Raw genomic sequence first — 17,661 nt, 5'->3', positions numbered from 1 at the left:
TTGTAATGTGTCTAAACAGGATCTAGTTTGAGGCACTAAGAAGGAATAAGACATCAGTTTGAAAAGAGCCCCTATCAGAACAACATGAATTCTGCTAAAATTGAAGCAAGAACAAATATCAAATGTATGTTAATGTTTGGGTGGAAGAATTGTGAAATCACTGATATTTCATGGAAAGTTTATGGGGACAATGCCCCAAAGAAATTAGTAGTTCACAAATGGATAACTCATTTTAAGAAGGGAGACGACAATGTTGAATATGAGGCCCGCTGCTGCAGACCATCCACATCAGTTTGTAAAGAAAAAGTCTTGTTTGTGCCCCACTGGAAGCGGACTGACTATTTTAACAGCAGGAACAATAGCTGACACCGTAGACATCTTGATTAGTTTAGTTTACACAAATGTGATTGAAAAATTAAAGTTGAGCAAACTTTCCATTCAATGGGTGCCAAAATCATTGTGCTGGCAGCAGCGGGCCGTCCCAAGCGGCCCAGGCTGCAGTGAGGAGACATGGGCAGTGGCCACAGGAGCAGCAGTGGTGGTGGTGGGACCCCTGGCCCTGCATCACCACTCTTGCCTGCCACCACTATGGGGAGGGTGCAGGGAGGAGGCAGACAATCCCTGGAGTCTGCCCCTGGGAGTTTCCCAGGAGCCCACTGCCCTAGGGGCCACCATGATGGGGCTGGCTGAGCCACCTGCCAGCGAGAGAACAGCATGCTTGGGTGTGGCAGTGGCTCCCAGGAAGCCCCGAGGTGTTGGCGCCCCCACCGCTGCCCCTCACCCATGCTGCTCACATTGAGGCCTGCTGCTGCTGCCAGGGCCAGGGATGCCCTGGTCCTCCCATGAGCTATGTAGTCCTTCCTGGAGCCAGGGCACAGCCACAGCAGTTTGGCCACACCCCCACCCCACCTCAAGCCAGAGTCAGTGCCTGCATCACAACCTGCCCCTCAGGCAGGACTGCCAGGGACCACAGTGCCCTGCAGCTGCCAAGTATATAAGTGCAGCAAGAGGCCAGAGCGAGTGGCCAGAGAGGGACCCAGTGAGGACCTGGAGCCCTTGCCCCAGACTGTAAGGAAGTGTGGCCAGGGCTGCACACTCCATGGAGCTGGTGGTAGCCAGGGACAAGTGGGAGCCCGCCCCTTTGGAATTGGTGGGGTGGAAGCTCTCTGGGTACAGCTGCAGCCGCCCTGCTGCCACTCTGGACCTGGGCATCTCTGTGCTCTTGGGGGCCCAGGAAATTTCCCCTTATCCCTCCCTGCTCCACCCCTTGAGGTTCAGAAGTGACTGCTCCCACTGCCTGATTTCTCCCCACTGTCATCACCTGATCTGATCTCAGAGCAAGGATGACACCAAGACTGGGTGCTTTCACAGCCTGGCTGGGTGTGCACATGCTTGGGGCAGCACTTACATGCCAGCTTCCTGCTGTCTCAGCCCCCTCCTGATGTTGTGCACTGACAAGCATGGGAGGGAGGCCAAGGTAGTGCTGAGGACAGCCTGGCACTGGCCTGCAGATACTCTTTGGCATGAACAGCCTGGGCACCATGAATAGTGGCAGGAAGCAGGCTCCAGGGCAGAAGAGGGCTGGTCCCCAGTGAAGCCCCACCTTTAAGCCGGGGAGGGCTGGAAGGCTGGGGCCACCATCGCCAGTCCCTCGGGCCAGAGGAGGAACTTGTGGTGCTTTTCCTTGGGCCTGCCCATGGCCACCCATGGACAAATCAGCAAGTACTTCCTTCCCTCTGAGGCCCATAAAAAGCCCAGACTCAGCCAGACTTGGGGAGAGAACAGGAAGATCATAGAAGATGAGGGGACCTGCCTGCAGAGAGAAGCCACCCACTCTAGGACCTTCTCCCTGCTGACAGCTGCAGAGATGATGGGCCTGCCTGTCTGCAGAGAGGAGCTATTCACTCTAGGGCCTCCTCTCTGCTGTAAGCTGAACACTCAACGGGATGACCTGCCTGCAAAGAGGAGCTCCCTACTCTAGGGTCTCCTCTCTGCTAGGAGCTGAACACTCATCAGGACACCCTGGCTGAGGAAACGAGATACCCCATGTGGGTTTCCTCTGGGCTGTTCTATCCTCAATAAAGCTCCTCTTTGTCTTGCTCACCCTCCACTTGTCTGCATACCTCATTCTTCCTGGTTGCAGGACAAGAACTTGGGCCCCACCAAATGGCGAGGCTAAAAGAGCTGTAACACAAGCAGGGCTGAAACATGCCCCACAAACAGGGCTGAGACAAGACCCTGGCTCGCCATGTTATGGGCAAAGAGAAGGAGAGAAAAGCTGCGGCCCTTCAGGGACCCCAGACCTGGGAGCATCCTGAGCCAGGACTATGACTCCCTCTTTGGGGCCCTGCAGTTCCTGGCATCTCCAAGCTACTGGGCACCACTCATTCCCCAGTGCCAGCTGGGGAAGCTACTTGTGGTGCGCCTGGTACAGCTGCAGGCTCGCAGAGAGCTGGCACCCATGCTGGCACCTGGAGCTGCCTGCCCCATGGTAGCAACAGCGTGTCTGACTGTGCAGTGGCCAGACCCCATGCTCACTCACACACCCCTCACCATTCCACACCTGACTTGCAGTCTCCTTGGAGGGGTGAGGTCCAGGCTGGTAGCGTGAGCTGAATGCAGCCTGCCAGGCCAAGTGGGTGGAATGAGCCCAGCAGTCCTGAGCAAAACCTAGGCAAAGGCGCCACCAGCCACAGATGTTTCTGGCCAGAAAAGCAACATGCGCATAGCTGCAAACCAGAGCAGAGCTTTCAATGGAAATTTTTTAAAAGTGAGATTGAGATTCTCAAGTATTTCTTCAAAGCATTGTAACAGGAGAAGAACTGTGGCTTTACCAGTGTGATCCTGAGGACAAAGCACAATCACAGCAGTGGCTACCAAGAGGTGAAAGTGGTGCAGTCAAAGCACAAGCAGCCTGGTCAAGGGCCAAGGTCATGGCAATAGTCTTTGGGATGTGCTAGGCATTCTGCTTGTTGACTTTCTGGAGGGCAAAAAAATGATAACATATGAAAATGTTTTCAGAAAGTTAGCTAAAGCTTTAGTAGAAAAATATCCAGGCAAGTTTCAACAGAAAGTCCCTCTCCACCACAACAATACTGCTGCTTATTCAGAGGAATAACCCTCACTAAATAAGGGCAATTTTGTGAGATTTTAAATGGGAAATAATTAGGTATCCACCTTAGAGTTCTGACTTGGTTCCTTCTGACTTCTTTTATTTCCTAACTTTAAAAAATCTGGCCAGGCGTGGTGGCTCATGCCTGTAATCCCAGCACTTTGGGAAGCTGAGGTGGGAGGATCAAGAGGTCACGAGATCGAGACCATCCTGGCTAACACGATGAAACCCTGTCTCTAATAAAAAAAAATACAAAAAAATTAGCTGGGCGTGGTGGTGGGTGCCTGTAGTCCCAGCTACTCGGGAGGCTGAGGCAGGAGAATGGTGTGAACCCAGGAGGCAGAGCTTGCAGTGAGCCGAGATTGCGCCACTGCACTCCAGCCTGGGCGATAGAGCGAGACTCTGTCTCAAAAAAAAAAAAAAAAAAAAAAAAAAAAAAAATCTGTAAAGGGCAGCCATTTTTCTTCAGTTAATAATGTAAAAATGGTGACAGTGACATGGTTAAATTCTCAGGACCCTCAGTTCTTTAGGGATGAACTAAATGGTGGGTATTATTGGTTACAAAAATGTCTTGACCTTGATGGAGCTTATATTGAGAAATAAAGTTTATATTTTTGTTTTTATCTTTAAGTTCCATTTTTCTATGAACTTTTTGAAGTCTCTTCATAGTAAATGACCTTAAACCCTCCTGGGTTTAAGCAATTCTCCTGCTTCTGCCTCTGGAGTAGCTGGGATCATAGGTGTGCACCACCACACCCGGCTAATGTGTGTGTGTCTGTGTGTGTGTGTATTTTTATATTTTTAGTAGAGATGAGGTTTCACCATGTTGGCCTGGCTGGTCTCAAACCCCTGACCTCGTGATCCACCTGCCTCAGCCTCCCAAAGTGCTGTGATTACAGGCATGAGCCATCGCGTCTGGCCCCGTTAATTAATTTTTAAATGTGGAAATAGCCTTTCATACCCGGGATAAATCTCACTTGGTTGTAATATATAATTCTTTTTATACATTGTTGAATTCAATCTGATAATATTTATTTATTTATTTATTTATTTATTTATTTATTAAAAGGAGTTTCGCTCTTTTTGCCCAGGCTGGAGTGCAATGGCGTGATCTCGGCTCACTGCAACCTCCACCTTTCCTTTTCATTCTATGAGGCCACCATCACCATAATACCAAAACTAGACAAAGGCATTAAAGAAAACTATAGACCGGCCGGGCGCGGTGGCTCACGCCTGTAATCCCAGCACTTTGGGAGGCCGAGGCGGGCGGATCACGAGGTCAGGAGATCGAGACCATCCTGGCTAACATGGTGAAACCCCGTCTCTACTAAAAATACAAAAAATTAGCCGGGTGTGGTAGCGGGCCCCTGTAGTCCCAGCTACTCGGGAGGCTGAGGCAGGAGAATGGCGTGAACCCGGGAGGCGGAGCTTGCAGTGAGCCGAGATCGCGCCACTGCACTCCAGCCTGGGCGACAGAGCGAGACTCCGTCTCAAAAAAAAAAAAAAAAAGAAAACTATAGACCAATATCTCTCAGGAACACACATGCAAAAATCCTTAGCAATCTGCTAATATTTTGCTATCAGTTATTGCTGATAATTTTTCTTGCTCTAAAGTCTGCTCTGTTTAAAATGAATATAGCACTCCTACTTTCCTTTGATTATTGTTAGTGTGGTATATCTTTCTGCATCCATTTACTTGTAATCTATATTACCTTTATATTTAAAGTGGGTTTCTTATAGACAAGATATAGCTGGGTCTTGGTAGTTTGATCTTTCTTCTCCTTCCGAGACTCTCATTACTCATATGTGACACCTTTTATAGTTGTCCCATAGTTCTTGGATATTCTATTCTCTTTTTTTCAGTCTTTGTTCTCTTTGCTTTTCAGGTTTGGAGGTTTGTATTGAGATATCCTCAAACTCAGAGGTTCTTTGCTCTGCTATGTCCAGTCTACTAATAAGCCCATCAAAGGCATTTTCTGTTACAGTGTTTTTGATATCTTGTATTTCTTTTTGGTTCTTTCTTAGGATATCCATCTGTCTGCTTGCATTGCCCATCTGTTCTTGCATGCTTTGTACTTTATCTATTAGAGCTCTTAGCATATTAATCATAGTTGTATTAAATTCCCTGTTAATTCCAACATTCCTGCCATATCTGATTCTGGTTTTGATGCTTGCTCTGCCTGTTTAAACTCTTTATTTTGCTTTTTAATATGTCGTGTATTTTTTTCTAGATAGCTAGAAAACTAAGTACTGGGTGAAAGAAACTGCTATAAACAAGACCTTAGTAGTATGGTAGTAAGGTGTAAGCAGGGTAGGAAGCATTCTGTAGTCCTGTGATTGGGCTCTTTTAGTGAGTCTATGCCTCTAGATTGTGAACTACATGCATACTTCTCAGTCCTCCCAACCTCACCTTTGGTGGAACAGGGTGGCCAGAGCAGGCTGGAGTTGGGCATTTTCTTTCTTCCAGGTCAGTCAGGCTCTGATAAAAGCCCAGCAGGTTTGGCTCTTGTTAAATTATTTATCGGGAGGAAAGACCTTGTTAAGAAGAACAAAATGCTCTAGTGTATTTCAAAATGGTTCCTTTACCTCCCCTCTTCCTGCCAGAAGCACAGGGGTATTTTTCTCTAATATTCACTCTGCTGACCTGATAGATCTCTTGCAGGTAAGACAAACAAAAGTGTAGGCCCCCTTCCCCCAGCTGGGCCCCCCTGGAATTTTTAATTCTCAAAGTTGTTGTATTAGTGTGTTCTCATGCTGCTAATAAACACATACCCAAGACTGGGTAATTTATAAAGAAAAATAAGTTTAATTGACACAGTTTCACATGGTTGGGGAGGCCTCAGAATCACAGCAGAAGGTGAAGGAGGAGCAAAGGCACGTCTTACATGGCGGCAGGCAAGAGAGTGTGTGCGGGGGAAATGCCCTTTATAAAACCATCAGATCTTGTGAGACTTATTCACTATCATGAGAACGGCACAGAAAAAACCGTCCCCCATGATTCAATCGTCTCCCACTGGGTCCCTCCCATGATATGTAGGGCTTATGGGAGCTACAATTCAAGATGAGATTGGATGGGGACACAGCTGAACCATATCAGTTCTTTACATTGAACTTTCAGCAATTCGTCAATTACAGTTCAGATTTTTCCTACTCTGGCTTTGGTTCTGGCGGAGGTGGCTACTTGCGAGCTTCTGTTTGCCGCGTTGTGATTCTCTGTATTCACCTCTTGGTCACTCAAATTTTGGGGGCAGTGATTTTCCCTGTGACTTCACTTATCTTGTGGATCTAGGAGGAGCTGTTGATTTTTAAGTTTAGCTTTTTACTTGTTGTTAGGATAGAGTGGTGTCTTCCAACCTCCTTACATGCTGGGCCAGAAACTAGAAATCCTACCAAACACTTTTTACAGTTGTTATTATTTAATTTTCACTGTAACTTGGGAGGTAATTTTTATTGACCTGACTTTACAGAGAAGTAACTTAGACCCAGAAAGGCTACGTACCAACTAATTGGTAGAGATGGAACTAAAAGTCTCCTAATTGGCATCTTTATGCTAGGCATTGCTCTATAGCTGCCATCTTTGTTTAAAAGACAAATACAACTGAAAGGGTAAAATAGTAAGCCACTGATTCCAAAGTATAAATCAGCTTTAACTGCAACAGGAATAAAGCATTTAGAGAGACCACAAAAAAGAAACGAGGAACATAATAAAAGTTGGCCTGGAAAGGAGGAAAATAGGATACAAATAGGAGATGAAGGTCACCAACAAGCAATATTCACAGCTTCACAACTTCACTTGGGTCTGGCCCTGTTGCCTACATGGGCTCAGTGACAGCTACCCCCAAGATTCATTTCTAGGGTTGAGTCCATAGCCTGGTCAATTATAATCAAGCTTGGATTATTTGTTCCAGCTTTGCTGAGTGGGAGTTGGATACCAGTGTAATGTGATAAACGATGTTTTATTGGTCCTCGTGGTCAGGATTTGTTCTATTCACTGGGGCCATAATAAATGTGTGCCCCAAATAGCACATGAAGTTCTATGTAGCCAGATTAAAATGCCCTCTAAGTAGTCTCAATGCCATGTTTTTGTCAGTCTCCAAATTGGCATGACCTAATAGGGAAAGAGTGCTGTAAACAAGAGGGAACACTTTATTGTCCATCAAGAGAGAGACATGTCCTATTTCCTCCTTGGCTTAGCTTGCCAAGTTTGGTACAACAGAAACCCAGTGAAGATTCAGGATGTCTCAAAATCAAAGCACATAATAAAGGAACATGGTGCATATAAAGTACTAATGTCAAAGTTTGGTTTAATTTTCAAGACTTTATTATTTAAAGTTATAGATACACTTCGGGGCTTTTGAAAGAACACTAAACATACTGTAAAAATATTTCATTTAAGCTACTTTGACTCACCTTCCATTTACAAACTATTTTATATGTTACCTAAAATACAAACAGCAAGATAATTATTTTTTGGAACAATGCTATCTAAATCCTGAGGGAAACAGTAACAATAACAGATTTAAAATATTGGATGCTTATAGATACTTATAAAATACATCACAAATATTTTCTCTAATGATCGGCAATATTTTGTGCTTTTTGAATCCAGAAATTGAAAGGTTAATCAGCTTATCCAAGATCACATATGTTTTAGTCTCAGTTCTTCAGAGAAAACAGATCCAATAGGGGTGTGTGTGTGTGTGTATGTGATATTTATCTTAGTATAATAAAAATATTTATTTTGAGGAATTCGCTCATATAATTATGGAGACTGAGAAGTCCCAAGATCTGCATTTGGCAAGCTGGAGGCCCAGGAGAGCCAATGGTAACAGTTCTAGTCTGAGTCTGAAGGCCTGAGAGTCAGAAGAGCTGATGGTGTAAGGTTTACTCTGAGTCTGAAGGCAGAAGAATACTGATGTCCCAGCAGTCAAGCAGGGAGTGTGAATTCTCTCTTACTCAGTCTTTTGTTCTCTCCAGGACTTCAACAGATTGGATGGGGCCCACTTACACTGGGAGGGCAATCTGCCTTACTTAGTCTACGGATTCAAATGTTAATCTCATCTAAAAACATCCTCACAGACATACACAGAATAATGCCTAAACAAATGTCTGGGCACCCCATGGCTCCATCAGGTTGACACATAAAATTTACCACCACAGCATAGCTGGAAAGCAGCTGAGATGGGGGATTTAAATACAGATCAATTTAACTGTAAGGTCTATAGTTTTTCATCACATCACTCTACCCCAAAGGAGGTGAGTTTTCTGATCCCAAGCTCCAACTTTAAGAGCTACATTGATTGTTTTGGGATGTGGGGGAGATCCTGTTAAAAACTCTTTTCATCAAATATTCTGAGATCACCCATCTGTTAATTTAGTTTCATCTGGCTCACCTCCAAGCCTCTGACACATTCATTGCTGGTAATGTTCTGGAAATTCCCATTGCACTTCCTTTTTGGCAAAGTTGACTTTCATTTACATTGGGGTTACTAAGAATTTCAGACAATAAAAAGTAGCTTATCATCCAAAAAAGCTAAGGCCTTCTAATTTTTTTTTCTTTTTTTTTGTGATGGAGTTTTTTTTTTCTTTTTTTTGAGATGGAGTTTCACTCTTGTTGCCCAGGCTGGAGTGCAGTAGCGTGATCTTGGCTCACTGCAACCTCCGCCTCCTGGGTTCAAACGATTCTCTGCCTCAGCCTCCCGAGTTGCTGGGATTACAGGCATGTGCCACCACACTCGGCTAATTTTGTATTTTTAGTAGAGATGGGGTTTCACCATGTTGGCCAGGCTGGTCTTGAACTCCCAACCTCAGGTGATCCACCCACCTTGGCCTCCCAAAGTGCTGGGATTACAGATGTGAGCCACCACGCCCAGCCAGGCCTTCTAATTTTTTAAATTAAAATATTGTAAACATAAAATTTATTTTTCAAATTATTTATTTATTTATTTGTATTGTATATAGTGTATACAACATAATGCTTTGTTACACGTGTACATAGTGAAATAATTGCTGTAAGTAAGCAAATTAACATATCCTTCACTTTTCATAGTTACTTTTTTGTCATAGGAGCATCTGATATCAACTCTCTCAGCAAATTTTCAATATACAATATAGTTAATAATACGATACTATCAGCTATAATCCTTCTACTATATACTAGATCTCTAGACTTATTAATGTTACATAAGTTTGTATCTTTTGACCTACATCTCACCATTTTCTCCCCTTCCCAAATTATTTTTCAAAAACACAGGTTCTTTGGTTCGAAAATCCAAATTGATTTTTATACCTTTAGTTTGCATATTCAAGAAGTTCAAGACTTCTTAATAGATAAGATACACTGCATAAACCACTTAGAGCTATCTAAAACCACATAAAACTCATGTCTTAAGAAATGATGACGAGCATTAAAACTTGAAATGCATATTTCTCCCAATTTCTAGAATCACATTTTGCATTAGATACTATTATATCATCCACTATGTCATATGTAAGACAACATTCTCAACCAGTCTGTCTAACCATACTGAGCAGTCTGTGAAACAAATCAGCTGAATATGATGTTGCCCTGGGCAGGAATACCCTGACCCACCAGGAAAAGATTGGCTGCGTACCTGTCAACGATGGGCTCCAGCCCTCACTCTCTGATCTGTTTGGTATTCAGGAAATTCTCTCTGAGTGCCTCATCTCTGTGGTCTGTAGGAGTTAATGTGCCAGAAAAGGAAAGAAAATTCCTTTTCAGTATATTAATGAGATCAGACCCAAGGACAATTGAACAAGACTCCCCCTTTTTTTTGAGACGGAGTCTTGCTCTGTCACCCAGGCTGGAGTGAAGTGGCGAGATCTCGGCTCACTGCAACCTCTGCCTTCCAGGTTCAAGCAATTCTTCTGCCTCAGCCTCCTGAGCAGCTGGGACTACAGGCCCGTGCCCCACTACGCCCAGCTAGTTTTTGTATTTTTAGTAGAGATGGGGTTTTATCATATTGACCAGGCTGGTCTCAAACTCCTGACCTCGTGATCCGCCTGCCTTGTCCTCCCAAAGTGCTGGGATTACAGGCATGAGCCACTGCGCCCAGCCCAAGACTCCTATTTTTAAAACCTGAAAAAATTTTCATGAATGAAATGCAGATAGAATCTGTAAGTCACTTGCTACATTAAAATACTCAGGCAAAGGGAGGTATTTCTATACATTATGATGTGTGCCTCCAAGCTTGTTTCAGAAATAAATATTTTAAAATAGGTACTTATTTGCCTGCTACATCATTAACTCATTCATTCATTCAATACATGTCCATTAGGCATCTCTCATTTTAAGTCATTTTTATGCTGGGTAGTTTCAGGGGTTTTAAGATAAATAGTAGAAGTGTTGAGAGAAGACAAACACCCAAATAACTGAAATGCAAAACAGAGCATTATAAGTGCTGAGTAAGAGGAAAAACAAAGAGTTATCAGGATTTAAAACAGGGTAAAATTAAACAGAGCCCCAAATGAAGTAAATTAGGAAATATTTTATGAAGGAAGAAGAAGGTGATTTTAGCCTTGAAGGATGGTAGGCACTTCTGGCAAAGCACCAATATAAGCATAAGTCTGTTGGTGGGAAAGTTCACTGTACAGCACAGCTTGGTTGATGGGAAGAGTGTGGGAGATTGGGATGGAATGATGGACCCAGCACAGATCAGAGGAGAAACCAGAGAGGCCATATTGGAATTAAAAGTTAAACTCAACTGGAAAGCAATTGCTTGTGCACACTGTGGTCAGTGTGGTCTGCAAGTCGGAAGCCCTCTGCTCTACTCTGGCCTCCTCTGTGTCTTCTGGGGCTTCTTTCACCTCTCTGGGCCTCAGTGTCCATACATGTAAAATGAAAATACCACTCTGCCGACTTCACGAATTTGTTATAATGATTAGATAATGTAGATTATTACTGATTTTCAATGTTGGGTGGTAGAGGAGTTGGTTAGAGCTATGCTATTTAACTTTTCAGACCTCAGAACATAAATAATTTTTAACGTAAAACAGCCTTCAAAATTCTCTTTAAATAATATTGCTAGACCCACAGAAACATAAATCAAAAACAAGTTAATCATATATCATGGCAATGATGATAAATTGCTTTTTTATGACCTTTATAATATGGACGCTATTAAGATTCCAATTGAAAGGAAACTAAAAATTAGAGAGGGGAAGTAGTTTTCTACAGTTATGGGCTGGAAAGTAGCAGAGCTAAGTCTATAAACTCAAGCAGCCAGACAAGTTGAAATGCTTAACACAGGCTAAACTGCTCTAAAATAAAGCAAGAATGCTACAATCTTGCATATGGTTTAAATAAAAGAAAAAATACATACTTTCGGTGACTATTATCCAAGATTATTAATCCAAACAGATAATTTTTATTCTCTTTTATTTAAAAAAGTACACCAAAGAAAAATATTTAATACTAACATTATGAATCGGTGAATTGAAATTAAAATGGGATACTATTTTTAGTTGACATTTTAGCAGATGCCTTAAAACACCGTTCACGTATTTTTTTTCAGTTTATAAATTAAGACAGGTTCATCATAGAAAACTGAAAAAATATTGAACAGCATAAAGGCAATAAAACAACCCACAGTCTTATCATTAACATTTTATTAAATGTCTTTCCAATCTTTGTAAATATGCTACACTGTTAAGAATTACAAATATTGGGGGCGGGAAATCCTCGGCTTCGGTGGTGGTCGTGGACATGTCGAGCCGGGTAGAAGTGGAGGGGCCATTCGAGGAGTCGTGAGGGGGTGACAGGCTAAGATTTGGAGAGAGAGGCTCTAGTGGCTGGACTTGACCTGGGAAGAATCTTCTGCTGACTCTCAACTTTTCTTGGAAAAAATGGATCATTCCCATCATACGGGGATGAGCTGTATGGACTCCAACAGTACCATGCAACGTCCTCACCATCACCCAACCACTTCAGCCTCACACTCCCGTGGTGGAGGAGACAGCAACATGATGATGATGATGCCTATGACCTTCTACTTTGGCTTTAAGAATGTGGAACTACTGTTTTCCAGTTTGGTGATCAATACAGCTGGAGAAATGGCTGGAGCTTTTGTGGCAGTGATTATACTAGCAGTGTTCTATGAAGGACTCGATAGCCCAAGAGAGCCTGCTGTGTAAGTCACAAGTCAGCTTTTGCTACAATTCCATGCCTGTCCCAGGACCAAATGGAACCATCCTTATGTAGACACACAAAACTGTTGGGCAGCAGATGCTGAGCTTTCCTCACCTCCTGCAAACAGTGCTGCACATCATCCAGGTGGTCATAAGCTACCTCCTCATGCTCATCTTCATGACCTACAATGGGTACCTCTGCATTGCAGTAACAGCAGGGGCCGGTACAAGATACTTCCTCTTCAGCTGGAAGAAGGCAGTGGTAGTGGACATCACAGAGTATTGCCATTGACGTCAAACTCTATGGCATGGCCTTATCGATTGCAGTGGGAAGCTGTTCAAGACTTGAAGACGTGATTCCTGCTCCAATCATCCCTTCTTGCTCCTCTTTGTGCACGTACACACACACACACACACACACACACACACACACCTGCTCAACAGAGGTTTAGTTTACAGTCTCTGAGCTAAAGCAGTAAACTCCCAAATTGTTTTTTCTAATAAGCTGAGATTCCCATTTCTCTTAAGGAGAAGCCACCCATGAGATGTCTTTTCCTTCTCCATCATCTTAGAGCCAAGTTATATGTTCTTATCTAATCCATGTAGCTTTTTGTTCATTGACTTTATCATCTGCTTCCTTTCTGGATGTTTAACAAATAGTAAGTACATTTTTTTTGCCCTGGGTCAGTGATGGAAAGGGGTTAACTTCAGCCAGGATTGATGGCAGCTGAGGGAAATTCTCGCCCAACTAAACCCAGAACTCAAACTTAACATTAGAACCATTAGAACATTAGAACATTAACATTAGAACATTAGAAAACAAGGTCCAAGGCCGGGCGCAGTGGCCCACAGCTGTAATCCCAGCACTCTGGGGGGCCAAGGCAGGCTGGATCACCTGAGGGCAGGAGTTCGAGACCAGCCTGGCCAACATGGTGAAACCCCGTCTCTACTAAAAATACAAAAATTAGTTGGGTGTGGTGGTGGGTGTCTGTAATCCCAGCTACTTAGAAGGCTGAGGCAGGAGAATCACTTGAACCTAGGAGGCGGACGTTGCAGTGAGCCAAGATGGCACCATTGCGCTCCAGCCTGGGCGACAAGAGTGAAGCTCCATCTCAAAAAAAAAAAAAAAAAGAAAAGAAGGTCCAGCTTTTGGATTCAATGAGTGGGAAATACATTGTGCCTTTCTCTAGATGCAATGCGTTATACCAAAATCTTTGTAGTGTGCAGAGGGGCGGTTTGAAACTAAATACAGACTTACAGCTTGCAGAGTGTGTATTCTTGGATGGCTGACTCATTGACTTGCATTCCCACTTAACACTTTGATTAGCATGAACTTGCCAATCAAAAAATGACAATCAATTTGAGAAAATAGAAATAGATATTTTTAAGTAAAACCATTCTCAGTTTACTTTTTGTTCCAGCTGAAGTGAAGCAAAAGAGTTTGAATTATTTTTCCCATTATTGTTTTCACATGTCTGCCTCTAAAACAGTAATTTTCAAGCTTTAGTGTGCATCAGAATCACAGGCTTGTTAAAACACTAATTGCTGGGCCTTAATCAAAAGCCCCCAAAGTGGCACTTCTGAGTTCCTGCTGATGTTACAAGGGACCACACTTTGAGAATCTCTGCTTTAAGCTAAGGAAATATTACCTGGTAGGTTGGCTGTCTGGTATTGGGCATGGAAATTTGAATTGCTGATTGGTAGATGGTGTGTCTGGACTTAACTCACACATAAATACTGCTGATCAATACCTAATCATTCCACATTTATTGAGCTCCACCTGTGTGTATGTGTGCCCAAGCACACATCCGTGAAAGGCTATAGCCAAAGTATTTTTACTAGCCTGTATGAAATCACTGGCCTTTATTTTTAAAGGTCTATGGTTTCTTGGAAGTAGTTTGATTGTTGAGAGAGACCTTTGATCTGCACTGTAAATCTACCAGTCATGAGCCAGAAGGGCAAAAGCAGAGCTTTCTCTTTGGAAAGACTCAGGGTGTGGTTTGCTGATGGCCAGATTTTCCTCAGGCTCCAACAACTGTGCTCACACCAAGCAGATCCTCATCCTCTATATAAGCATCTTTGTTATTAGTGGGGGTTTAATTACATTACAAGTGGCCAAAACCCCTGTTCTCAATGAAGAACCACATAGGATTTTTATTCTGTTCAGTCGTAGTCTACACTGCAGTCTTATTCCCGGTTCAAACTACCTCTTTAAATTGATTCGTTGTGTGCTGATCTGTTAAATCCTGCCCTCCTTGGTGCTAGATCTAGTTGTGTCTCAGGGCAGAGGAAACAAAACACAGCTATCCTGTTGGCCTTTGTACTTTCTCTGTGGGTGCTAGTTAAATATTGGAGAGCAAGGAATGTATACTTGTATGGCTTTGAACCAAGAGAGGGTTATGAGCCTACTGGATTGAGGTTAAAATCCAAGAACCAACATTTAGAGATTTGTGCTTTTCTCTCATTCCATCACCTTGCAATGATGATACTTAACATGAGCAGGGTGAATGACAGGTACTGACAAAGTCCAACACAAAGGTGTAATACAGCCTGTTGTCCCAAGCCAAGGAATCATAAAACCATGAGAAATCAATAGAAATCAATATTTAATAGTGACACTGGTGCTCTCTACAAATCTCAGCATGAAATGCCATAGAATACCCTCCCAACAACAGAACCTTATCAGTAAGGCCAGCTAGACACAATGGCTCATGCCTGTAATTCCAACACTTTGGGAGGCCAAGGTGGGAGGATGGCTGGTGTCCAGAAGTTTGAGACCAGCTTGGGCAACATAGTGAGATCCCGAGATCCCATCTCTACAAAAAATCAAAAATTAGCTGGGCATGGTTGTGCACACCTGTGGTCCTGGCTACTTGGGAGGCTGGGGCAGGAGGATTGCTTTAGCCCAGGAGGTCGAGGCTGCAGTGAGTCATGATTGTGCCACTGCACTCAGCCCGGGTAACAGAGCAAGACCCTGTGTCAGAAAAAAAAAAAAGAAAGAAAAAAAAGAAAATTCAAGGCCAGTTAAGACAAAATGTTATGACTTTGAAATTCACAGAAATAAATAAATAGCAGTTTAGATTAGGTCTTCAGGTATCCAGGATAGAGATACAGGTATTCAGGATAGAGATAATCTCCTGAAAAATATGAATTTCAGAGATTCTTAGACTGGCTGCCAAAGGATGAAGCCAGTGAAGGAGAAAAAGCTTAAATTCCATCTTGAGCTCTTGGATTGTGATAATACAATGATTTCATTAACTTTTCATTTCTGTATACCTGTTCATTTGGAATGTAATGCTTGACTTCTTTGTTCGTTTTGGATCTAAACTTCTCTTTTCCTCCTTCCCTGTTCACATCTGTTAGAAGACTGCATCACCATTTCTTTGGCCCCCTTACTCTGCTGTCCTTTCCCTTTTCTTTCAGTTTTTTAAATCTCATGTCTACTGTATTAAATCTCCATAGCCCTCCTGATGCAGTAGACAGTGGTATGCTGTGGATATAAATACCAATCAGAAATTGGCATTTATAAACCTGTTAGAGACTTTAAGCATGCTTCAAGAGGCAGTTGCCCCACTGGAATTTCTATAAGGCTGGTACCCTTCCCAGAGTTACAGAATCTTGGGTGCTATCTCTAGTCTGTGATGGAGGAACTCCCAGCATCCCCATTTTCCACAAATGGAATCCTCACTGTATCCACTAGGAGATTAGAGATTAAGGTTTCTTTACTACTTCTATGGTAGGGTTGTCTGAAATTCCCTTTCAGGCTGTGGGTACTGGTCTTGGGTTCTAGTCATAAGGGGTTCCTTATAAGGAGCAGGTGGAGGGGAATACATTTTCATGTCATTTAATTTTGATCCTGCCCTCTCCAGCTACTTCGTCAAAAGATACAAAGTCTGGGCCAGGCACAGTGGCTCACACACTTTGAGAGGCCAAGTGGGGGTGGGTCACCTGAGGTCGGGAGTTTGAGACCAGCCTGGCCAACATGGTGAAACCCCATCTCTACTAAAAATACAGAAACTAGTTGGGTGTGGTGGCGCATGCCTATAATCCCAGCTACTCTGGAGGCTGAGGCAGGAGAATCGCTTGAACCTGGGAGGTGGAGGTTGCAGTGAGCCAAGATGGTGCCATTGCACTCCACTCTGGGCGACAAGAGCAAAACTCCGTTTCAAAAAAAAAAAAAAAAGTCTGCATTTGATATAATGCCTTACTTACTGGGGTCTACAAATAACGTTGACTGTTTTAGATTGTAAGCTCCTGGAGAGCAATATTGCTGTAGTAGGAATGTTTTAACACTGTCATATGAAAAAGAACAAAATAAATATTCTGATTTTGTGATTTAAAAAAAGAATTAAAAATGTTTACATTTGAAGTTATAAGTTTCTCAGCAACAGAATTTTCACTCATTGCTATTTTTTGCCACTTTACTATATATAAGAAGATATGATTTGTGGGGAGAACATGTGTTCTCATTGTTCAATGCCCACTTATGAGTGAGAACATGTAATATTTGGTTTTCTGTTCCTGTGTTAGTTTGTCAAAGATAATGGCCTCCAGCTCCATCCATTTCCTCAGGCGTGAGCCACCACACCCGGCCGATCTTTTTCTTTTTTATGGGTGCATAGTATTCCATGGTATACATGTACTACTTTTTCTTTATCCAGTCTATCACTGATGGGCATTTGGGTTGATTCTATCTCTTTGGTATTGTGAATAGTGCTGCAATGAACATACATGTGCATGTGTTTTTGTAATAGAATGATTTCTATTTCTTTGGGTATATTACCCAGTAATGGGGTTGCTGAGTTGAATGGTATTTCTGTTTTTAGGTCTTTGAAGAATTGCCACACTGTCTTCCATAATGGCTGAACTAATTCACACTCCCACCAACAGTGTACAAGCATTTCTTTTTCTCCACAACCTTGTCAGCATCTGCTGTCTTTTGACGTTTTAGTAATAGCCATTCTGACTAGTGTTAGATGGTATCTGACTATATAAGTTTATATAATATACAAATATATAATACAAATCATATCTCTTCCCAGTCTTTCACTCTTAGTGGTGTGTTTTAATTAAACTACTGGCTTTTTACATAACAAAAAATTAACTGTTCTCTTTACTGGTAGAAATAATGAATTCAATGAATCATCACTTTTAATTTTGTTTGACATCAAACTACTAAAATATAACATTATTTTACATATGTTTGCAGAATATTAATAAAGAGAATAGCACAGAATGGAGTTTAAGAGACATTGATTTAGAACACCATGGAAATGAATTGATCTTATCGGGCAAAGTTAGCACCCCTTAACCCAGGCTGGGAACTGACAAGCAAATGCAGGTCCTTTATATGAGAGTGAATGTGGTTCAGCCTAAATCCACCACAACTGAACCAAAAATGC

At 42.7% G+C, this 17,661-nt stretch overlaps 1 pseudogene, besides 2 other annotated features; it reads left to right on the top strand.

The window, feature by feature from the left end:
- Positions 2,498 to 2,999: an enhancer, noted in NCBI's record as "H3K4me1 hESC enhancer chr3:172330773-172331274 (GRCh37/hg19 assembly coordinates)". NCBI's record gives its function as "activates a minimal SCP1, AML or CMV promoter by ChIP-STARR-seq in naive H9 embryonic stem cells {active_cell/tissue: H9 hESC(naive)}" and the evidence as "EXISTENCE:reporter gene assay evidence [ECO:0000049][PMID:30033119]".
- Positions 9,629 to 9,923: a silencer, noted in NCBI's record as "tiled region #14501; HepG2 Repressive non-DNase unmatched - State 23:Low, and K562 Repressive non-DNase unmatched - State 22:ReprW". NCBI's record gives its function as "represses a minimal TATA promoter and a strong SV40 promoter by Sharpr-MPRA in HepG2 and K562 cells {active_cell/tissue: HepG2 | K562}" and the evidence as "EXISTENCE:reporter gene assay evidence [ECO:0000049][PMID:27701403]".
- On the top strand, positions 11,808 to 16,596 carry SLC31A1P1 (solute carrier family 31 member 1 pseudogene 1; annotated as a pseudogene).

This window comes from Homo sapiens, chromosome 3 (assembly GCF_000001405.40).
Source record: "Homo sapiens chromosome 3, GRCh38.p14 Primary Assembly".
Lineage (NCBI taxonomy): Eukaryota > Metazoa > Chordata > Mammalia > Primates > Hominidae > Homo > Homo sapiens.
The sequence above is the reverse complement of the archived record's forward strand: the minus strand, read 5'-3'. Positions and strand labels throughout refer to the sequence as shown.